At 40.1% G+C, this 25,224-nt stretch overlaps 1 protein-coding gene across 4 annotated transcripts, besides 1 other annotated feature; it reads right to left on the reverse strand.

Moving 5' to 3' along the window:
• Window positions 1-3,114: 3,114 nt before the first annotated feature.
• Window positions 3,115-24,225, reverse strand: KCTD18 (potassium channel tetramerization domain containing 18). 4 transcript variants are annotated; one of them, NM_001321548.2, is made up of 7 exons: window positions 24,168-24,225; window positions 21,014-21,248; window positions 18,927-19,116; window positions 13,048-13,241; window positions 11,910-12,004; window positions 7,329-7,431; window positions 3,115-4,773 (listed from the first exon to the last, which is right to left on the reverse strand). In NM_001321548.2, exons 5-7 carry the CDS (start codon window positions 11,941-11,943, stop codon window positions 4,257-4,259), a joined length of 654 nt encoding a protein of 217 aa, NP_001308477.1. In that variant the 5' UTR covers window positions 11,944-12,004; window positions 13,048-13,241; window positions 18,927-19,116; window positions 21,014-21,248; window positions 24,168-24,225; the 3' UTR covers window positions 3,115-4,256. The 4 variants fall into 4 exon arrangements, with proteins under 4 accessions (NP_001308477.1, NP_001308476.1, NP_001308479.1 ...); NM_001321547.2 differs by having other exon boundaries at window positions 18,905-19,116; NM_001321550.2 differs by having other exon boundaries at window positions 23,785-24,225.
• Window positions 23,998-24,457: a silencer, noted in NCBI's record as "silent region_12225". NCBI's record gives its function as "represses an Ori minimal core promoter by ATAC-STARR-seq in GM12878 lymphoblastoid cells {active_cell/tissue: GM12878}" and the evidence as "EXISTENCE:reporter gene assay evidence [ECO:0000049][PMID:35858748]".

Below are 25,224 nucleotides of genomic sequence, written 5' to 3' on the forward strand. Positions count from 1 at the left end.
CATCATTAGCAAATATTCTAATGATGTTTGTTTGAAACAACATTCAAACATGCTGTCTGTTTGAAACAAGTTTCTCTTCTAAGCCCCAGGCCCCCCATTTCATACCTGGAGCTCAGCAGAATTTTACTAAGGCAATGAGGGTTTTAGGGTGGAAGAAGCAAACGAAAAGCATGAGAAACAACATGATAAAATGAAAAGCTGCTAAATAAACAAGCAGGGCAGAATACTGACTGACAGTTAGCGTAAAATTCTATCTGTCTTAGCCACAGCCTACATCAGAAGCCATTTAGCTAGCAAATATAAAACATGGATGGGCTGTCTGAGGCAACACATGTGAACAAAGAAAAATTAGCTTTTCTCTAACAATGTAAACCACGTATCTCTTATGAGGCTGACAAGAATATAAGTGAAAATGGTCGCTTTGAGACTGCACCACCAATCAAATTGAAATATGAAATTCCGGAAAGAGCTGGAAAGCAATTTTTTTTTTTCCTGTTAGCTATTTATGATGTTTCTTTTTTTGGGTCCTACACGCTCGAAACCCTGCATACTAACTGCTGCCCTCAACAAAGAACCACTCATCCACTCACTGTTTCCTGACTGGGGAATCAGCAACTTGTTGATAGTTTTCAAGGAAGAGTTTCAGCATATGGAAAAGACAGAATTTTTCATAATTAAAAAGTTCCTGGTTACTTTCAAATACACACATGTAAGTCATTTGAAAATACTTTTCATTTGCTATAATAGAAGCTCTTTCCCTATGTTTTACCAAGTTCATACTTTCTATTTAGTCTCCAACCAACATCCTACCAAATACAGATCAAAGCTATTAAAGGGCCTGCAGATGTAAGATAATCCTATCTAAGATGATCTCATACTCATATAAATGTCAGCATTCTTCCCTTTACCGAACAACTTGCCACCACAGGCCTTGTGCACATTCAAAATGTGTTTAAATCAAAGGTTTTCTATGAACAATTTCTCAGGTATAGCCAAACACGCTTATATGTTAATTCCTGCTGTAAAAGTCAAGATACAGCTGGTCAGTCATTATACTGTATTTAACCATGGACTGGAAAGTGAATCGACAATTTTTTTTTTAATGTTAGCACTTGCTAAGGAAGCAATGGGATTCAGTCTGTGAATGAAAAAGAACTTACATCAGCACAGGAGATGTACTGAATTAGGAGCAGGGAGGCCAGACCTCTGCCTTCCTCTCTGGAAAGTCAGGAAGCATCAGCCACGGACCTCTCTGGGATCTGGTGATACATATTTCTAAATTACTTCAAACAACTCGACAAGTTATGTAACTGTTATGGTCATTACCAATAGTAATTGTGGTCATCAGCAATATTCACTGTATCAAGGAACTTTCAAAAGCACCTCCTTTGTTCCCCTGACAGTATAAACTCTGCAAGATCAAAAAGCAGTTTCCATACCCTCTGAATATTGCTATCAGATACATTTTCTAAAATAATTTGGAGACAGGAGGTGGCCCTCAACTGTTCAGAAATTTATTAAAGGCCTGCTGTGTACCAGACTCTAGAGGGACAGAAACAACAGTCCCTGTTTAGTAGGAGACACATAATCTAATATTTTCCTGCTCAAAAACTTCAAATATTGAGGAAATTCACACTTACATTTACTTCCTCCCTCTAGCTTTTCAGTGATGCTGTGTGGTTCTGCAGAAATCAGATAATGGGGCTAAAATGTGTACATTCCCTATTGTGTAGCCTTAACTTTTCTGAAACTCATTTTCTTTGTCTTTAATCTCAACACTTTGGGAGACCAAGGTGGGAGGATGGCTTGAAGCCAGGAGTTTGAGACCACCCTGGGCAACATAGTGAGACCTCATCTTTACAAAAAAAATTTTTTTAATTAGCCGGGTATGGAGTGCATGCCTGTAGTCCCAGCAAGTTACTCCGGAGGCTGAGGCAGGAGGATTGCTTGAGCCCAGGAGTTGGAGGCTGCAGTAATCCAAGATCGTGCCACTGCATTCTAGCCTGGGCGACAGAGCAAGAACCTATCACTACAAAAATTAAAAATTTGAAAAATTTGAAAGAAATATAAAAAGCAATGAAATCACATATGTGAAAATACTTCCTAAATTCTAACATAAGGCATTATTAACAAAACAAATCCTTCATTAGGTCTCCACTGCCAGCCTTAGGCTATCCATGAAACAACTAACCAGTTTTAATCAGGGCAAACCTGTTTTCAACACAGATTATGTGAAAGGGTATAGTCACTAAACTTTTTTTAAATATACGAACAATACTTAAATATCCTACTTATCATTAAGTATTTCTAAATGTCTCCTGATCCAACTGTATAAACCTACTTCTCAAATCACTATTTATAAAGCTTTCATTTTTTTTCTTCCAGGAAGACCAATGGGTTATGATGAATTACCAACTCTTTTAGGGTTTGCACAGTCTGGTATTAAGAAAAATGTTTTTCCATGTAAAGTGAAGCTAGCCCCCAGGGAACCACACCCAAGTAATGTTTATGTTACTCGAGCATGCTGAATTTGACTTTGACTCCTGATATCCATAAGGGTGCATCTTCCCCTTCCCTATCGCAGCTGCCCCGGCCTTCAGTAGTTATCCAAAGTCACTCCTCTTACAAAGACTAAGTGTGCTAAATGGATTTCCCTTAAACTACTTGATGCAAAGAAATGGAGGATGTCAACGGAATCACCCATGATTAATTGTCAACATGTTTCCTGTCCAGCAACTCAAAATGTCCTAAATCAAGCAATACTAATAATGTCCACATTGGTAGTTCTGAAAATTCACTATGGTCTTTGATTTCCACAATGCCTGGATTCTCTATAATGGCATTTTCAAAAGTAACTGAATATTTTATATATTCCACAGGACAGTCATCATGGATCTTCAATTAAATAATCACTTTTTCTAGCAAAGTAAGCAGCCTATCTAAAAAGTTCCTAGTAGATGGATAGTTATCCAAAATTGATTTAATTATTTCATACTTTATCTGCACAAGAAAGCAATTTTGTAAGTGAAAATGGATAACCTAAATAAACTAATAAGTTTTCAAACTACTACAGGGCTCCACGGCTTTAAAAAGTACAGACACAGAAAATACCACTTTTTATGGAAAAGTTTTATTTGATTTTGTAAAACGTAATGTTTTGAGTATACTTACTTTACTCTTTCAAAGCAATGAAAGTACAATGATAAGCATTTGAATAAAAAGTACCCTGTTTTATGAGCTTATTTTTTAACATAGTGAAGGCATACTCTCACTGAAAGTAGAAATATGTGATCCAATTACAAAACATAACATTTACGAATAAACACACACAACTGAATAGTCATGAAAAAATAGAGGATTAGTCAAAATATTCTGTTTAAAAATATTAAATTCAAGTTACATGGAAATTTTATGCATAAAAATCATATTGTATAATCAGAATGAATCTTCAGTGGTCATTTCTGAAAAACAAATACTAACTTTAGTTAAAAAGTTAAACTTTTACTTCTCTTTTTCAAAGTATTTTCAAAACTTCACTATTCAAATTAAATAGGATATTTTAATAATTTACTTCAAAGATATTATATAATTCTGATCCCAAGAGATCTTCTTGTGGTGTTTATAAATAAATCTACTAACAGAAAAGAGTAAGAAAAGCCAATCTAGGAAAGAAAATCGTTGAATTAAGTGAGAGTCAAAGTGCTAATTCAATCTATGGGGTTTTTTCCTCCCCATCATTTCTTTTCACGTTGCCTTTGGAGACAGAGTAATTTGTAGGCAGCTCGCCTTGATCTACATTTTCTCTCTCTAATCTCTCTTGGCTGTGATATAGTACAGGGAACCACTAATATCACCCCCTCCATTTTCCCAGACAGGAATACCTAAGGCCAAACCTCATGCCCATCCTCGGGTTGCAACAAGTAACGTTTACTTCAGCAACAAAGTGGACCTCTCTAGAGATTATTTGTTGTACTGTCTTGTTGCCTTAATACGAATTAATCATTAAAAAATAAATTGAAAACCAGAAATTCAAACTGCCCATAGACAATCATATAAAAGTTGGGAAAATGAGAAATGGAGCCTTAACCATTGAAAGTCTCCCCTCCTCCATTCCTAGCTCACACAATTCCAGGAACAGAATCCTCAACATAAACCTAAGCTTCCCCTCTGCTGCATTAAGAAAGTGTCACTTCTTTGCGTCGAATGGGTTGAAAGCTTTGGGAGATGAACGGGAAATTTCAAGTCCACCACTTTCATCAATTTCCCTTGTTCTTCCCGTTCTCAGTCCGCACTCCCAAGGCACGGGCAGCTTCGCCGGGAAGCGGCTTGAGGGAGTTGGCCTGCCTCGTGGCCGTGGGGGAGGGCAGGCAAGGCGCGGTGGCGCACAGCGGAGTCCTCTTCAGCTTTATCACCCGCTGGGGTGTAGGCTTCTTGTCGGAGAGTAGCACCTTAGCTGGAGGTAAGTGCGTGCCTCCATTTTCAGCGCTCGCAGCCCCAGGGGAAGCCTGAGGATGCCCAGGTGCCCCCGTGCCCACCAGGGCCGTGGCTCTGGAAGGTGCAGAGCGCTGAGCTGCCTTTCTGCGGCTACCACTTTGAAACCGGTTTGCTGTCGCCCCAGCCGACGTCTGGATGGCACTGGCTGGAGACACCGTGACTGAGGCCGAGTTCTTGACTTTAATTTGGGTACTTGTGGAAGGGCCCAAAAATCTAACTGGCTTAGGACCAGTCTTATAGTTCACACTTTCGTCCGCTTCATTGAACGTTATCAGTCGCCTAGAAATACAGAAGCGTGTCATTTTCCACATGTATAGTTTTAGTAACTCATGAAAACATCTCCCAAGTTTACCTTCAGCATTAACAGAAAGGTTTTGGTCAAGAATTAAAGAGTCAAGAGGTTTATGGGCACCTACCTCATCTCTCATCTCCCACCAAGGTCAGTAAGCAAGTTTACAAAAGATTGGTCTTAATTTGAATACGAATTATGTAAACTCACACACATAATATTAATACTAGCAAATTAAAATTTGGCACTTTACATAAGAATACAATATATCACCCTGTTCCCAAGTATCATGATGTGACCTACGGGATAACCAGAAATATCACAAATTGTTTTTCCCAGAACTGCAGTTTAAAGAGATTTAGTAAAGAAAAAAAAAGATTTCACAATCAAATAAATATTAGAAATATTGCTTGATATAGTTTGGCTGCATGTCCCCCCCGAAGCTCATGTTGAAATGTGATCCCCAATGTTGGAGGTGGAGCCTGACAGAGGTGTTTGGGTCATGGGGGAGGATCCCTCATGAATGGCTTTGTGCCCTCTCCCATGGTAATGAGTGAGTTCTCACTCTATTCGTTCACGTGGGAGCTGGCTGTTTAAAAGCCTGGCATCTCTTGCTGTCTCTCACCGTGTGACATATCTGCTTCCCTTCACCTTCTGCCATGATTGTAAGCTTCCTGAGGCCTCACCAGAAGCATATGCTGGCCCTAACCTTCTTGTACAGACTGCAGAACCATGAGTCAAAATAAACCTCTTTTCTTTATAAATTACCCAGCCTGATAGTCCTTTATAGCAATGCAAAACTAATAAACTGCTGCATATCTTTTTTTCTTCTTGAAGCTTTAAAATTCATGTTAACATATTAAAGATTATGAAAGGCCTATACTAAAGATATCTGTATTTCCCAATCATTCTATAGTGAAACCTTTGATGGCCAGTAAAATTTGCATTCTTTGGAACCCATTTTGGGGACTGCTAGAACAGTCATGGACAAACCTTCAAAGATTCCAGAACTGAGTTTACCATTCATTATAAAAAGCCTACGGGGGAACATTTTTTTAAATGACCTTAAAACCGTCAAACAATCATTGTCAAAACCTTGCCTGCTCCTTCAGCTTCACTTCCTGAGGACCACCCCAAGCATGAAAGGTGACTGCAATCCTCTCACTCTGCTCTCTTGCAAGTCTGCATAGCATCAATGTGTCATTAGAGGCGATTACAACTTATTCAACTCCCATTCTTGGAAATGGGATCATAATAACGTGGTTATTTGAAAATTGCCATCTGTAGCAAAGAGTGCAAATATAATATATTCAACCCTAAATCCCTACTGAACATTTTCCCTGGTCACCAGATGGCTCCTTGGGACCTTACAAGTGCTTCTCAGTCATCATCATCGTTATCCTGTTGATGCATCAAAAATAATGCTTCGTAAACTTGTAGAGGAAAGATAACTAACACAGAGGAGGGTCTCCGTAAACCACTCCTGCCTGCCTGCTATGTTTTCCATCTACATCTTCCACCAGACTCCACACTGAGGTTTCTCAACCTCGGCACTATTACCATTTTGGTCACATAATTCTTTGTTCTGGGGGGCTGCCCTGTGCACTGTAGGATGTTTAGCAGCACCCTTGGCCTCTACCTTCTAAATGCCAGTAGCAACTCTCACCCCACAGTGTGTCAACTAAAAATGTTGCCAAACATTGTCAAATATCCCCTGGAAGGCAAAATCACCCCTCGTTGAGAACCACTGCTCTTGACTCAAATATATTTGCTAACTGTAGGCTCAAAAGGTAAAATAAATGATAATAAAATTATGGCTTTTAAGAAATAAGATCTGTTTTGACAAGTGATGGTTAACTACTAAAAACTGAATAAGCATCTCCGCATTTCAGTGAAAGACCCAGAGGGCAAATGTAAGAAAGTAGTCTGAAATTCCATACGGGCATTCAATTAAATTGTAGAACATGTGATCAAGAAATCAGAACATCTGAAGGCCATGAATAAAACCCAGACACTGTAAAAAAAATGTGATTTTAAATGTATTTAAAACACAGTGAAAGACACAGCTGTGGAGTGAATTTAATGCTAATAATTTCATGGAACACAGGAAAATACCATTTAATAAAAGTGCTATTTGTGGCAATAGGAAACAGAAAGGAACTCAGAATAAGCCACAAGAAATTTCAAGTATTAAGTCTAAATAGATTTTTTTTTTACTATTGCCAGTAAAGCCTGGGATTCCACTTCTGTGGAGCAAAAATATTTACCACAGCATGCCCACTGTGTCCACTAGTAATTTTAGAATCACTCTCTCAATAAGAACATGTTACACATGCAGTTACAAAGAATTATAGCCACTTTTTACATAGTTTTGGTAACTTTATATTTATCAAGATCTATATTTTGATGGTAAGACAGAATATTCAAATCGGTGATTAATAAGCTTAGTAAGGTCAAGAATTATTATTCATTTTCCCTTCACAAAGGCAGTAAAAATGTCAGCGATTAAAAAAACAAAACAAATAAACAACACAGCATAGATAACCTCTTTCGAATTGGAGCCATGTGACGCAGGCTTCCAAGTAAAGGCCGTTCTTCTAGAGTCCAACACTCTATCAGCTCATGAGGCACCCGCCAGTAGCTAACACCTGGAAGGTAAAAAGACATAATTAAGACAGCTACCATCCACTGCAAAATGCTGAGCAACACTGTTTCGCCTAAGACCTGCCAGAGTCTGAGGTTCATGCCTCCCGTTTGGCAAAGAGAGGTGTGCACAACATGAACAGGAAGCGCTCACACGAGGAGCTAGGGCCAGGGAGCAACACAGCTCACGACCTGGGTCAGGAAGAGCTGGCCACCAGCTTTGCCACTGATTAGCTGAGAAGATTCAGCAGGTTATGATGCATACTCAGGGCAGCTGAGAGTGAGGGCTCAGGCTCCAGCAAAGCCTGTGTGGGTCTCAATCTCCATCTCTCACTCACTATTCATGTCACCTTGGGAAAGTTACTTTTCTGGGCCTGAATTTTCTCAGCTGTGAAATGATGACAATAATAGTATGTACCTTGAAGGACCACTGTGATGATTAAATGAGTTAATAAATGCAAAGTGCTTAGAACAGGGTCTAGCACAGACTAAGCACTCAAAAACTGTCAAGTACCTTTATTCCCAGTAGTCGTAGGGAGCAGTATAAGTATTGTATAGGGGGTGGGTTGTAACACTTGCCTTGTCTACTTCACTGGGTTGCTGTAACATCAAATCAGGGGAACTTTGTGAACTACTCTGAAAATGGCAACCACTGTACAAATATGAGACATCACCACCCGATAACCACCTTTTCCAACAAGAATCTGAGCTAGTGAGTTAGGCAAAAATGCCATTCAAATTCATTTTAATTTTTAAATCTGTTATGTTTTTTATTAAGAGCTGAAAAATGTATTTATTCTTGAAGCCTCGAAAACATTATGCTAAGTGAAAAACACCAAACACAATAGGTCACATTTGTATTGTTCCATTTGTAGAGCTATCAAGAGTAGGTAAATCCATTGAGACACAAAGCAGACTGCTGGTTGCCAGGGGCTGTGGGAGACAGTGGAGTGGGGAGTGACCGCTTAGGGGTTCCTTTTGGGGTGATGAAATGTTTAGAACTGGAGAGAGGTAATGATTGCACAACATTGTGAATGTAGTAAATACCAATGAAATGTATGCTTTAGTTAATTCTGTTATGTGAATTTCCATCTCAATTTTTTTTAGAAAAGAAGCATAAATATATACACATGAAAAAAGCTCAAGGAATTATGTTGAATAAAAATTGCTTGGAGTAATCTAAGTCCCAATAATGGATTTGGTGTTGTCTTCTTATTAAACTTCTGGTAACAATAACAATTTAGCAAGCTGGGCATATAAATCATTATAATGATAGACATATCTGATACTCAAATAACTCTATGATCCTCATTTTAAAACAATTAACTTTCTGGAACTGCTTGATCACACTCCAAAACCTACACATACTATAAAAACATTCCCAAATCCGGTCCATTAAGTTTGCTTTTTCTAAAAGTCAGATTTATTAAGATATAATTTATGTAAAATAAAATTCACCCTTTTCAGGTACACATTTCAATGAGTTTTGACAAATGGATATAGTTATGTATCCATAGTCATAATCTGTAGACCACTTCTATCACCCCAAAAATTTCCTCATACCCCTTAGCAATCAATGTCCCCTCCATATCCTTAGTTTTGCCTTTTCTGAAATGTCATATAAATGGGATCATACAAAATGCAACCTTTTGTGTCTGGCTTCTTTAGCATGATGCTTTAAGATTCATCCATGTTGCTGTATGTAGCAATGATCATTTCTTTTATCAGTGAGTAGTATTCCACTGTATGGATACACCACAATTTGTTTAAAAACTTTCTTTTTTTTTCCTGCCTATAAAGTAATTCACATCCCTTGTACAATACCTGGAAAATATAGAAAAGTATATATAAGGGAATCAAAGTCACTCCTAATCAGAAGACCAGGAATCATTGGCTCAGGACAGACTAATATGTTTCATTCCAGTCTTTTTTCTAGTCATATGATATACTTTACATTTATTTCCTGCTTTTCATCATTTCTTATCATGGGCATTCATCTATGCAAAAAGTTATTTAAAATAACTTTAATCGCTTTATTATATTCCATTCTGTGGATGTGCCAAAATATATTTAACCCTCAATCATTAGACATTTAAAGTGTTTTTATTTTGTCTCTATTATGAAAAATGCCAGAGAACATTTCTGTTCCTAAGCCTTTGTCTGTGTTTATGTCCTTAAGATAGATAAGATAGATTCCAAGAAGTAAAATTACTGGGTCAAAGAATATGAACAATTGTGATGCACTGATGTGACCTAACAAGTTATTTTCCAAAAGTTACATCAATTTTTACTCCTACCAGGAATGAATAAGAGATCTTTACTCATCTGGTATATAAAAAATTGTTTTTATTAAATGTATATTTCATTGATAAGGAATGAAGCTGAACCGCCTGCCACGTGTTTACTTCTTTTTCTGGGAATTTTATGGTCATGAACCTTGTAATTTTTTTTTTTGTAGTAGTGGTTGCCTTTCTAATCAATTTTAATAAACTTTCTTTCTATTAAGGATATACTTTGTCCAGTTAATGCAACATTATTTATCCTAGTTTTTTATTAGTCTTTAAATTTTATTTATAATTTTTAATGTTTCTTGTTTTTTTGTTTTGTTTTGTGTTTAACATTTATGCCTAGTGTTCCATTATTGGAACACTAAGCATGTGGGAGTTATTTATATCCTACTGCTCAAGGTCATCGCCAAGATCTGATTGCAAAAATTCGGCTCACTGCAACTTCTGCCTCCTGGGTTCAAGCGATTCTCCTACCTCAGCCTCCTGAGTAGCTGGGACTACAGGCGTGTGCCACCACACCCAGCTAATTTTTGTATTTTTAGTAAAGACAGGGTTTCACCATGCTGGCCAGGATGGTCTCAATCTCATGACCTCATGATCCACCTGCCTCGGCCTCCCAAAGTGCTGGGATTACAAGTGTGAGTCACCGTGCCCAGCCCTCCTTCAGCTTTCTAAGGCAGTGGGCTCCTGGACATCTTGCCAGTCCAGAGGCACAAAGAGAGACACAGAGAACACCATGGAGTTTGTTCTCCAACTTGAGCATAAGTGTCTCAAAGTAAATTAAATATAAAATAGAAAGCTGAAAGATGTCATCCTGCCTCTTGAGGGGTATGACTGGAAAGGAAAAAGGAAGGAAAGTGAGGGGGGCAAAGTTGAGGAAAGGAAGAAGGACTGGAGCTGGCACGACACCTGAAGGAAGAACAGCTGATACAGTGTTTTGTTTTGTTTTGTTTTGAGACGGAGTTTCATTCTTGTTGCCCAGGCTGGAGTGCAATGGTACAATCTCAGCTTACAGCAACCTCTGCCTCCCGGGTTCAAGCCATTTTCCCACCTCAGCCTCTCAAGTAGCTGGGATCACAGGCATGCGCCACCATGCCCGGCTAATTTTTTGTATTTAGTAGAGATGGGGTTTCGCCATGTTGGTCATGCTGGTCTCAAACTCCTGACCTCAGGTGATCCACCTGCCTCGGCCTTCAAGGTGCTGGGATTACAGGCATGAGCCACTGCACCCAGCCAATGCAGTTTTTAAAAGCCTCTTCCTCTCCTTTTATGTCTTGCTCTGTCACCCAGGCTGGAGTGCAGTGGTGTGATAACAGCTCACTCCACCCTCAAACTCCTGGGCTCAGGCAATCCTCCTGCCTCAGCCTCCCAAGTAACTGAGACAATAGGTGCATGACACCAGGCCCAGATCTTTTATCCATTGTGTGACTGGCAGTCAGTCTTTACTAGCTTTCAGGATTATTTGAGGATGGAATAAGTCTTATTTATCTTTGGATCCAATTTTAGGACTTGTTATCATACTTTGCACCTAACAGACACTCAATACATGGTTGTTAATTAAGAAAAAAAATGCTTAGGCATAGAACAGAACACGTAACCTGTGATCCTTATGAAAGTGTCAAAGCCCTTCTGAGACTCAGTTTCCTCATCTATAAAATAGGAATGGTAAGTAGCGTACAGGATTGTGTTAGGACTAAGAGATACTGAATGTAAACTACTTATCGGGGATATAAAACAGCATTATTATTACCAACTCTCACTCTGTAGTTTGAGAAAAATGACCAGTTTTCAAAGTGTACATTTAAAGATTATTGTAATTATTTTATAAGGGCTCTTTAGACATCTTCTCCAACATTATTTTCTCTCCCTTTCCTTGATTACATATTTTATGCTTAATTTGAAGTATTTTTCCAATGCACAGTAGGTACTAAATGAACTCTTATTTAATTAAATTAAATAAGCCTAGCTAACAGAAACATACCTAGTTACTGAATTATAAACTATTAATAATATCTAGCAACTCATGGGATTTAAAGATTTGTAAGTAAACTGCCTCAGTGTTATCATGAGATGACAAATACATTGTAAGACTCAAAAGAATACTTTCTAAAAAAAGAAATGCAGTATTTGAGCTTACTTTGTCTTTTTTTTTTAAAGTCCACCTGCTTCCATGAAATAAAAGAATTGCACTGTACCTTTTCCTTCCCAAGCATCAAAGGCATCCATCATTTTCTTCAACTCTGCTACTGAATAATAGCTCCAAATGTACTGAACATTATTTCCCGCCTCTCTAGAAATATTGCAAAGAGTAATGAAAATATACTACCTAGGTATGGATGTGCATATATACATACAGCTAATATACATTTAATAAGAGCTTGTTAATTAAGGGAAAAAACATGTAAGCACTGAGTAGTTGTTCTGTGATCCTTAAGTATACATATGCTTACACAGATACATATGTACACATTATATAATATACTAACCTATATTTTGATCTCTTTTTATCATAGTATTTTATTAATTCCACAATATGCACCATGTAGACAAATCAACACATCTTTAATATCAAGTTTTTAAAAAAAATCAGCGAACTCCAATGAACTTAGAAAATATTCACGTTTCACCAGCATTATGCCAGGCACTTACACATCTTACATAGAAGCATCCCTATCTGTAAAGAATTCAGAAACTGATGACATATTTAATAATCTCAAAAGGCAAGCTTATATGATCCTTCATTAGTCACTAATATTCGACCCAATCCCATCTGCCAGAGAATTTTTTTAAAAATTGCTAAGAGAATTAACCAGTGTAAATAAGATTATAGGAAAAATATTAAGTAATAACTCTTAAGAATTTAACATGTTCAAGTCATAAAATTCTAAAGCTGGAAGGGACCAGCAAGTGCTTCGTCATTTCTCAGAAGAAGACACCAAGGCAGGCCAGCCCTGAGTCACTCAGTAGGCCTGCTGACTTCTTCTGCCAATGCTTCTATGGTCTAGGAAGACACCAGGCATGTGGCTTTTCTTTTTTCTTTCTCTTCTTTTCTTTTTAAGCCTCTCAGGGGAGGGGATTCTGATGCAGACTCCCAGTTGAGAACCACTGCACTAGATCATGCAGATGGCATGCAGCTTATCCATACTGTATGGGAAATGATCTTAATTATAATTTCCTCATGAAGCAGGCCTATCTCAACTGCTATGATGGCTCACTGTGTCTCCTGAGAGGTGTTAATGGTCTTTTCTAGTCAAGCACATTTCATTCAGAAACACCTCTTAAAAGAGACCAAGACTTTATTTTGTTCTTTTTCACATTTAAATTTGGACATACCTTTTAAAAATGCCTTTGCTGTGAATTCTTCCTCCCAGCTGCTTTTCAATAGCGTCTGTTCCATCAGTTTTTGTGGCATATACACCAATAATTCTACTCTCACAGCTTGCACCAGATGTGTTAAGATAGTGGAGAACCCAAACTGTTGGTTTATTGCAGACTAAGCCATATGAATCACAGAAGTCTGTTAAAGCCTAAAGCAAAAAGTATATATAAAATTTGAATTTAATTCTAGAGTAAAATAAAAATGAATATGCTCCATTACTTTCATGTAAAAGCTGAAATTCTAGTTGATCATAAGGGAAATAAAAAGATTATATATTTCAGCTTAGTCTTTACATCTTTAAAAATCAAACACACATTTTTTTTAATTAAATCGGGGCAGGAAGGACAATCACAAAAAATACCCCCCAAAACCCCAACACCTTTTCATCTACAGAAACCTTTTCCACATGGAAATTCCATTTTATTTCTTACTCTTTTAGTCTGCCAACATCACTTTTAATTTTATCATCTTTATAAGATCATTCCTCCACTGCCAACATCACTTTTAATTTTGAAATCCAATCCCACAGAAATACAAACTACCATCAGGGAATACTACAAACACCTCTACGCAAATAAACTAGAAAATCTAGAAGAAATGGATAAATTCCTCGACACATACACTCTCCCAAGACTAAACCAGGAAGAAGTTGAATCTCTGAATAGACCAATAACAGGAGCTGAAATTGTGGCAATAATCAGTAGCTTACCAACCAAAGAGAGTCCAGGACCAGATGGATTCACAGCCGAATTCTACCAGAGGTACAAGGAGGAACTGGCACCATTCCTTCTGAAACTATTCCAATCAATAGAAAAAGAGGGAATCCTCCCTAACTCATTTTAAGAGGCCAGTATCATCCTGATACCAAAGCTGGGCAGAGACACAACCAAAAAAGAGAATTTTAGACCAATATCCTTGATGAACATTGATGCAAAAATCCTCAATAAAATACTAGCAAACCGAATCCAGCAGCACATCAAAAAGCTTATCCACCATGATCAAGTGGGCTTCATCCCTGGGAATGCAAGGCTGGTTCAATATATGCAAATCAATAAATGTAATCCAGCATATAAACAGAACCAAAGGCAAAAACCACATGATTATCTCAATAGATGCAGAAAAGGCCTTTGACAAAATTCAACAACCCTTCCTGCTAAAAACTCTCAATAAATTAGGTATTGATGGGACGTATCTCAAAATAATAAGAGCTATCTATGACAAACCCATAGCCAATATCATACTGAATGGGCAAAAACTGGAAGCATTCCCTTTGAAAACTGGCACAAGACAGGGATGCCCTCTCTCACCACTCCTATTCAACATAGTGTTGGAAGTTCTGGCTAGGGCAATTAGGCAGGAGAAGGAAATAAAGGGTATTCAGTTACAAAAAGAGGAAGTCAAATTGTCCCTGTTTGCAGACGACATGATTGTATATCTAGAAAACCCCACTGTCTCAGCCCAAAATCTCCTTAAGCTGATAAGCAACTTCAGCAAAGTCTCAGGATACAAAATCAGTGTGCAAAAATCACAAGCATTCTTCTACACCAACAACAGACAAACAGAGAGCCAAATCATGAGTGAACTCCCATTCACAATTGCTTCAAAGAGAATAAAATACCTAGGAATCCAACTTACAAGGGATGTGAAGGACCTCTTCAAGGAGAACTACAAACCACTGCTCAAGGAAATAAAAGAGGATACAAACAAATGGAAGAATATTCCATGCTCATGGGTAGGAAGAATCAATATTGTGAAAATGGCCATACTGCCCAAGGTAATTTACAGATTCAATGCCATCCCCATCAAGCTACCAATGACTTTCTTCACAGAATTGGAAAAAACTACTTTAAAGTTCATATGGAACCAAAAAAGAGCCCGCATCGCCAAGTCAATCCTGAGCCAAAAGAACAAAGCTGGAGGAGGCATCATGCTACCTGACTTCAAACTATACTACAAGGCTACAGTAACCAAAACAGCATGGTACTGGTACCAAAACAGAGATATAGATCAATGGAACAGAACAGAGCCCTCAGAAATAACGCCACATATCTACAACTATCTGATCTTTGACAAACCTGAGAAAAACAAGCAATGGAGAAAGGATTCCCTATTTAATAAATGGTGCTGGGAAAACTGGCTAGCCATATGTAGAAAGCTGAAACTGGATCCCTTCCTTACACCGTATACAAAAATCAATTCAAGATGGATTAAAGACTTAAACGTTAGACCTAAAACCATGAAAACCCTAGAAGAAAACCTAGGTATTACCATTCAGGACATAGGCATGGGCAAGGACTTCATGTCTAAAACACCAAAAGCAATGGCAACAAAAGCCAAAATTGACAAATGGGATCTAATTAAACTAAAGAGCTTCTTGCACAGCAAAAGAAACTACCATCAGAGTGAACAGGCAACCTACAAAATGGGAGAAAATTTTTGCAACCTACTCATCTGACAAAGGGCTAATATCCAGAATCTACAATGAACTCAAACAAATTTACAAGAAAAAAACAAACAACCCCATCAAAAAGTGGGCGAAGGACATGAACAGACACTTCTCAAAAGAAGACATTTATGCAGCCAAAAAACACATGAAAAAATGCTCACCATCACTGGCCATCAGAGAAATGCAAATCAAAACCACCATGAGATACCATCTCACACCAGTTAGAATGGCAATCATTAAAAAGTCAGGAAACAACAGGTGCTGGAGAGGATGTGGAGAAATAGGAACACTTTTACACTGTTGGTGGGACTGTAAACTAGTTCAACCATTGTGGAAGTCAGTGTGGCGATTCCTCAGGGATCTAGTATTAGAAATACCATTTGACCCAGCCATCCCATTACTGGGTATATACCCAAAGGATTATAAATCATGCTGCTATAAAGACACATGCACACGTATGTTTATTGCGGCATTATTCACAATAGCAAAGACTTGGAACCAACCCAAATGTCCAACAATGATAGACTGGATTAAGAAAATGTGGCACATATACACCATGGAATACTACGCAGCCATAAAAAATGATGAGTTCATGTCCTTTGTAGGGACATGGATGAAATTGGAAATCATCATTCTCAGTAAACTATCGCAAGAACAAAAAACCAAACACCGCATATTCTTACTTATAGGTGGGAATTGAACAATGAGAACACATGGACACAGGAAGGGGAACATCACACTCTGGGGACTGTTGTGGGGTGGGGGTAGGGGGGAGGGATAGCATTGGGAGATATACCTAATGCTAGATGATGAGTTAGTGGGTGCAGCGCACTAGCATGGTACATGTATACATATGTAACTAACCTGCACATTGTGCACGTGTACCCTAAAACTTAAAAGTATAATAATAATAAATTTAAAAAAAAGAAAAAAAAAGAAATCTTCATATAATAACCAAAATGTAGACCTTTTTCTTTTCCCTTTAGAGTAATTTCCCCAAAATTTCCCATTTTACACAATCTTCCATTCACCTTCTACTGACTAACCCCATGGTTGGTCCTTATTTTTAGCTCCAAATTCTAATCATGGACTAACCAGATTGATTTTACTTTTACACGGAAAGATACGAATATGTAAACTCAATATCTAAACTCCGTATATGCTGCCTGAACTCATTTGGCACTTATCAACCTATTCATTCATTCATTTGAATATTAAGTTCCTACTCTGAGCTGAGCTCTAACGTCCTGCAGATATAACAATGAACAATGGTGAGACAGGGTCCCAGTCCTCCCAGAGTTTATAGCTAATGCAGAAGACAGACATTGAATAAGCCACCAGCACCCTGTGTAAGAAGTGCCACCAGGACCGGGTGCAGGGGCTCACACCTGTAACCCCAGCACTTTGGGAGGCCGAGGCGGGCAGATCACCTGAGGTTGGGAGTTCGAGACCAGCCTGACCAACATGGAGAAACCCTGTCTCTACTAAAAATACAAAATTAGCTGGGCGTGGTGGCACATGCCTGTAATCCCAGCTACTCAGGAGGCTGAGGCAGGAGAATCACTTGAACCCGGGAGGTAGAGGTTGCGGTGAACTGAGATCATGCAATTGCACTCCAGCCTGGGCAACAAGAGCAAGACTCCATCTCAAAAGAAAAAAAAAAAAAAAAAAGAAGTGCCACCAGTGAGACCACAAGGTGCTCCAGGGCAGAGAGCAGAAGGGTTTCACCCAGTGAAGCTGCCAGGGCCTTCCCTGGGAGGAACAGCTTTACTGCTGTAAGTACTCTGGACAGGTACTATATTGTGTTCACTGTTATATCCCAAGTGTCTGGAATAGTGCCTGACACAAACGAGATGCCTAGTATTTACTGACTCAGTGAATGAAAATGGGGCCCTACCATGTCTTGCACTTTCATTTAATATTGCTATCTAACTCCTATATTGGTTTGGAATTTTACTTACACATACATCTACAAGAATTCCCAACTATACTATAAACTTCAAGGGCAAAGAACTACATGTTGTATTTCTTGGTGTCCCACGCAGCCCCTTGTACAGTGCCATACATGTCACAGGCACTTGAAACAAACATGTGTTGGCTGACAGCATGAATGTGGGCATGCTGTGTCCTTTTTGAATAAAAACCAGGAATAAAAGATTACAGAGCTGAGACTTCTGAAGATGAGCATTAACCCTCCCAACCTTCTAGTCAGGCCTCATTCTGCAGATGTGGCAACAGCAGGGAAAGACTATCGTTCGAAAATATAGTTTATGAATAACTTCAGTAGCAGAACCCATATAACTATTTAAATTCCTAAAGGGGATCTGGAACCAAATCAACTTTCTATTCATGCTGCACTCCTAATAACCAACCACCCATCAGCTTGCTTCCTAAACGCTGACATCCAAATCAAAGAATTCAAACAAGTTCAGATCAGTTTTCACTATTAACAATTTTCTAAGAAAAATATTTTCCTTAGATGCTCAAAAGTGCTAATTAATAACACATATAATACTTTCAATAAGACAAAAACAGATAATTAGGATTTTCAAATCATGTAAAGATCTTTAAAATGCAATTTAAAATAGAAGCATCTTAAAAAGATATTTAGTGATCTCAAAGTGAATTAGCCAAACTAATGTTTTAAATTAGTAACAAACTACTACACTTACTAAATCAAGTAAGATGCTTTATTATTCATCAGGATCATTATTTTCAAAAATCATTTTAGTAAATAAAATAATACCACTATGCCCTCACATAGTATAGTATTTCTCTTAATTTAAAAAGAATTGGCCGGGTGCAGTGGCTCACGCCTGTAATCCCAGCACTTTGGGAGGCCCAGATGGGCGGATCACGAGGTCAGCAGATCGAGACCATCCTGGCTAACACGGTGAAACCCCCGTCTCTACTAAAAATACAAAAAATTAGCTGGGCATAGTGGCAGGCGCCTGTAGTCCCAGCTACTGGGGAGGCTGAGGCAGGAGAATGGTGTGAAGCCCAGAGGCGGAGCTTGCAGTGAGCCAAAATCCCGCCACTGCACTCCAGCCTGGGGGACAGAGCAAGACTCTGCCTCAAAAAAAAAAAAAAAAAAAAGCAAGAATTTCAGGAGTTCTGTAAAAAAGCCGTCAAAAAGTGTTAAATCTTCAGTGAGCAATATAAACTCAATCAACCTTTGAGTGGCAATATACTTTCCAAGAATTTTGGCCTTAAAAAATGAGAAGTAGTAGTAAAGAAACATGTCTTCAAAATGCATAAAAACTATCTTGTTTGGTTAATGTGAAAACACAGGCTATGCAAAATAGTACATATTGCTTTGTGCATCATAAATATATATATTCAAAAACTTAAAAAAATGCCAAGACCTTTTTAAGTTCTATATTTGACCTTAAAGAATATGTCTCCATTTCATTGGCCAAATGGTCAGACAGGCTGTATGGATAAGGGATGCCAAAGTAATCAGCCTCTTCCTGTAGGGCGATGCGGGTTTGCTCATCTGTGGGAATCTGAACTTCTCCATGAAGGTAATCCAAAAGGTATTTAAATAGACGTCCATCACGGTCAATAACACAAGCCCCTAGAAAACATTCAGTTCAAAAATGATTATAGAGATTCTGTCGATCAATAAGATTTCAACAAATCAAACTAGGTCTGAGGACCTCTACAATTATAAATGTTTCTTTCTCACATGAAAGTTAACATCTAGTGTTCAAATAGGTTTATGTAATCTAAGCTAGACTTTTGGTTATTCAAACACCAAATATGATATACCAGCAACCCTCTGCTTACAAATAGGTGATATTGTAAAATAGAATCTGAATGAGATGTGTGGGACAATCACCTGTAGTTCTATAATACTGCACATAAGTTTGAATGCAAATATATATCACCAGGGTTGCCATGTTTGGTTGTACTGGTGTACTATATACACCATGCTAGGCCAAGTGGGCAAGAGAGGCTAAAACCAAACCCACACTCTGCTCACCAAGCCATGCACCCTGGCATGGAACTGCATCTTCCTGGATAAAAGGGCACCCTTTTCTGATTTGTACACAAAGAAACTGAATGAGTCAGTGGTGGACCTTTGCGTTCTCACTACCATATGGGAAAATATATTCTGAGATCCATTTAGAACTTTGGATGCAATGACTATATTCCCACAATGGCCACTGCAAAAGCTAAGGGCACCCCACACTGCTGGTAGAAACAGCAGTTTACCCCTAACCTTATCTCAGCTGGACTAGAACAGGTATATGGAGGTTCTCACTAAAGAGAGCATGTGGGGTGCTCATCACTATGTCCAGTGTTTGCATATCAGCAACACTACAAATCTGGGGTTCCTCACTCCAGGCATGCCAGATGATTCGAATTACTGGGTTAGTCCTTTTGTACTACGAGAACCCAAACTTTAAAAAAGAAGAAACACTATGCTGGTACTACTTTATAATAAAATATTTTTCTTAGATAATTTAGCAGAATTAAAAAAAAAAAAGAGAGAAAAACCTCTACATGAGGCTAGTCAGTAATTCCTCACAAAAGAAGGGATTAAGAAGGTAAAATTTAGGGGCAGAGAAGAAAACTCAATCCCTGCTTACCATCTTTGCCCCAACAACCTTTCTGCCCAGGTAGAAACCAAGCCCTGGGCACCAGCCACTGGTGATTTTTTTTCCCATTCTTTCAACTGCCATTTAACCAGCAAAGCAACCTCCTAACACCAGAGTTATTAACAGTAAAACAGTCCCTCATGTTCAAGACTCCTCAATCATTCTCCTCTAACACAGAACCAAGAGTGGGTCTGGGGCTCATACACAGGGCAAAAAACTTCATTTGTATTGATGAACTTTCTTTACAAACAGTAGCAGGTTCAGTGAGTACCAGAGCACTGGAAGCAGAGAGCAGCCCCAGAACCCTACCTGTGTGATTTACAGTTCTGAAACCCAGTTTTCAGTCCGCTGCCCCTTTGCCTCTGACGGTATCACTGCACAGACTTTTTCTCAGCCGTGCACATTGGACACACAGCAAGACTACACAGCTAGGCTAGGTGGCGAGCCCAACACTAATTCTACAATGACGATGGCTGCTCTGTTAGCAATAAGGAGGGCAGCTGCTTTCTCCAGACAAAACATTTTCCAATTTGAAGAACACAGAGAGAAGCAAATATATTTAATCAGCATCAATATCATCACCCAAAGCTGCATGAAAGTAACAAGTTTCAAAATACAGTTAATCCCCATAATTAGGTTATGACCAGCCTTTATGAACTCTTACTTCTTTGTCAACTTTTAACATTATCACAGATTTTCAGAAGTAGTATTTAATTTCTCCACGTACTTAATGAATCTCCATAGAGTCCTAATGATCTCAGTAATTAGTATAGTCATCTAGTACATTTCGCTGTAATTAAGAAAATCAAAGGGAACTTAAACTGGTGTTAATAAATATTCAGATCATGCTTTCAGACTTTAGACATTTACCTGACTCATCTGTTTTTAGAGGAAAGCGACCACTGAACATAGATGCCAACATGGAGTCCTTGAAGCGGCACAAGGACTCCCGCCGGGCTGTGTAAATACAGCCACCCACGTTCAGTCGGAGAACATCTAGCACCTCTTCTTCTGCCTTGTGGCCTTCCATTTCTCCCCCAGGCACCTGAATTTTTGCCGCCCAACACTTTCAGAAACTTCAAAACAATGATGTCTTGGTCTCCCTCTGTAAAACAAAGGACAGTCATCCCCGCCATTTCCAACAAGACACTAAATAGATAATATAATAAATATACTTTAACATGACTGAAAATAAATTCCTCAGTACTGGCATTATTGAATTGAAGGATTTTATATAATATAAGAGAATTTCGAGATATGCTAAGAAGTTGGAAAATGTTGGCTAAGAGGATTTGTAAAAGATAATAAACGACTAACAACCCAATCATTGCTGTTGAAATGACTGTTTAAACATGGTAATGCACTCTCTGTCACACAGCAAACAAAGGAGAGGCCTGCTTATGATCTTCAGTATTCACATATCTTTTTAACCATGATAAGTCTGAGGGAGCCTCTAGACTGCAGAGATCAGTGGACAGCATGGAATTGAGCTGCTAGGCTCTTCCCCTCACCAGCTCTAGGATCTTGGGCAAATTACTTATCTTCCTCTTCCATAAAATGGAGGCAGTGATGATGCCCAGCTCAAAGGACTATAAGAGGAATAATTAAAAGAATATATAAAACAGCAAAAGAGCAGAATCTAGCTCATGGTAACTATTCAATAAATTATAAATATTATGCATAATGATATAAATTTAACCATAAGGTGTCTACTGAGGGACTTGATATTGACTCTGGAAATGTAAGGAAATAAAGGAGCAGGAATTATTAACAATGATAACTATAATTCTTAAGTTAGGTAACTAAGGAATATATAATTTATCAACTGAGATTATAATTCTTCTTTTAATTTTTTTAAATTTTTAAAAAATGAGACAGGGTCTCGCTGTGTTGCCCAGGCTAGTCTTGAACTCCTGGGCTCAAGCAATCCTCCTGTCTTGGCCTTCCGAAGTGCTGAGTATACAGGCATGAGCCACCACGCCCAGCCTGAGATCAGAATTCTATGTAGACCAGTAGCCAGGCCAGTCTAGAACTACAAATAACACCTCCAAATCATCCAGCTTCTTCACTGTGAAATGGATGAAGCTTTAGGGAAGTTTTGGGGGGTTTTTGTTTGTTTGCTTGTTTGTTTTTTGAGATGGAGTCTCGCTCTGTAGCCCAGGGTGGAGTACAGTGGCGCCATCTCGGCTCACTCCCGGGTTCAAGCAATTCTCCTGCCTCAGCCTCCTGAGTAGCTGGGACCACAGGTATACACCATCATGCCGGGCTAATTCTTGTAATTTTAGTAGAGACGGCGTTTCACCATATTGGGCAGTCTGGTCTCCAACTCCTGACCTCAGGTGATCCACCCACCTCGGCCTCCCAAAGTGCTGAGATTACAGGCGTGAGCCACTGCACCAGGCCCAGGGAAGGTTTAAGGGTTGGATTTTTTTAATCCATTCTGGAGATCACAGAACCACAAGTGACACTGTGGTGTTTTCCCACCTAAAACAATACTGTGATGAAAAAGGTACTCCCAATTATTGAGAATCTGCAGTATCCACACATTTCATAGCAAGTTGAAAATGGCTGCCAAAAGGCTCAACTACATCCATGTCAATTCACTTTTACTCAGTGAACAACTAAGATCGTTTTGTAGATGCCAGCTAGTCTCCAATAAAATGGAAGGAGACCATTAAAATCTGAGGAAGACCATGTGTGTAGAATACGGTCAGCAACAGAAACCATTATGGGCCAAAGGTCCAGCCTTCCAAAACCACTTATGGATGTGACATCTCGCACTGCCTAGAAGTCCTGGGAGCAGCACTCCAAAGATCCATGTGTGAGAGCCACCTCTGAGGCATGGGATGGAACTTGTTCCCTCTGCCTCATTACTGGCTCCCTGGAATCCTATCTATTCTTCAAGGCCTTCAGCAAACCTAATTTCTTGCATGACCGTCCCACGTATCCTTCTGCCCCCCAAGTTAGAATCCTTGCACAATTCTACAAATATACTGTGTGTCTGTCCACTTTTTACCCCACTTGTTTAATCCCTACTTTTTGGTCTGTAGGCCAAGGAAGCCAGGGCCTGTGTCACTCTTAATAACTCCCATTTACTGAATGCTTATTATGTGCCAGCCATTGTAAGAGACACTTGACACACTTTACCTAATTCACACAAAAACTCTATTGGATGGGAATTACTGTCCCTGTTGACAGATGAGGCCATTGGGGTAAAAAAAAAGAGTGATGTGTACAGGGGCCACACAAGGACTGACTGCTAGTAGGTTGTGGAGCCAGCCCCAATCCAGAACGGCAGGACGAACCCCAAGTTCTTCCTGCTTCACCCCACACCGCCTCCTCCAGCACTGTTTCACCCCTATGGATCCTGACCCAGCCCTTTCACTCTCTAAGCATCTGTCCATCTCAAGACTTGGCTACGATAACACAGCAGCACCCCGATCCCGAGGATTTAAGAGCTACTCCTCCTACCCCAACCCCAGGCAGTCTCTCCTAAGGATAGGAACATCATCATTCCAAGGCCACACCAGGGGGGCACTCCGCAGGCCCCATCCTCAAAAGCACCCAGTTAGGCTCCCTGCTATGTGGAAAGTGTCCAGCCCTCGGGGACAATGTCCCCCAGAGTGCATTCCTATGATCACCTGCATCAAAACCATCAGGGACGCTTGGGAAAACGAAGACACTCCGGCCACAGCACACAGTTCCTCAGAAAGTCTGAGGAGGGGTCGGGATCTGCCCGCGAACCCCACTTTGAAAAACATCGCTCAAGGGGCTCACACTCCTCTTCCGAAGCGGGAAGAGCCGGGAGGAGCTGGGGAGCCAGAAAGCCCCGCCACGGTCTTCCGCGGCCTGGAGACCCCAAATCGGCCCGAAGCCCGAGCCTGCAGCCCGGGGCGCGCGCGTTACCAGCGCGGCCCGTGCCCTTCCTCAGGGCGCCCCGCCGCCTTCCGGGCCCGCGGCCCATCCCGCGCCCGGCTCTTCCGCACCGGGGGGGTGGGGCGGGTCGGCAGCTTCCCAGACTGACCTGCGGCCCGCCAGACCCTCGGCGCGGCCGCCGGACGCCGCGGGGCGGACGCGGAAGTGAACGCCTTCTCAGCTGCTCGGCAACTCGGGAGCAGAGCGGCCCCAGCGGCGCCCCCGTGCGGCCCGGCTCTGAGGCAGCGGCTCAGGGAGGGAGGGAGGCCACGTCCCGGGCACGCCACGCCACGCCACGCCCCGCCCCCAGATTCGTCTCGCCCCAGTGGGCCGCCTCGGAGTCGGGTGGGTCTTCCATCCCGGAGGTAAGGGAAACACACGGTAGAGAAGGCCAGGGCTGAACCCCAAGGGACGGTCTTGTGTGTTCAGAGGCTGGTTTTACAGGTGAAGAGAAGAAACAGCCGCAGAAGTTGCGATTGTCCAAGGTCACTTAATAAGTGGCAAGAATTAGGATGTTAAGTGTTCTCACCCCCAGGTCAGTGCCCATCCCTCCAAACAGGGCTGCTCAGTGCCAACGTGTGTTAATATATTGCACTTGGATAAGTCTATCTGGATAGTGTCTGCAGCTTACAAAGCTTTTTCACACACAGCATTCTTGTTTAGTCTGTGTGACAGTGATATAAAGGGTGATATTTATTTCCCATTATAGCAAGGAAAATTGAGGCGAGAGCAAACATTTATTCAACACTTTTGTACACCTGACACTGTGCTAAGTGCTTTGCATGCACTACTTAATTTCCTGTTAACGATAACCCTAAAACAGTTCTTCCAGTTTCTAGCACCATCTTACCTTGTGCAAGGTACTGTGCTAGATATTTCAAGAGAAATATAACAGTCCTGTTTTCAAGGTGCTTCCCCAAAATCAAAAATATTTGGTTCCAAATTTCCCTGACTGGCTCTTAGAAGAGAATAAGCCAAAGAGAGGTAAGTCAACCTATCCCCTTAGATATTAACAGTCTTAGGAGAGAGGGAAGGTTTGTTCAACCTGTAATTATTAAGCACTAGCTATGGAGCAAGCACTGAGAGTAAAGGACTGGAAGAGACAAATAATGGGCGTTCAACCTTACTTTCCAGTACAACATGCAGAAAACTTGTTCTGTAAATAT

This window comes from Homo sapiens, chromosome 2, assembly GCF_000001405.40.
Source record: "Homo sapiens chromosome 2, GRCh38.p14 Primary Assembly".
NCBI classification, from domain to species: domain Eukaryota; kingdom Metazoa; phylum Chordata; class Mammalia; order Primates; family Hominidae; genus Homo; species Homo sapiens.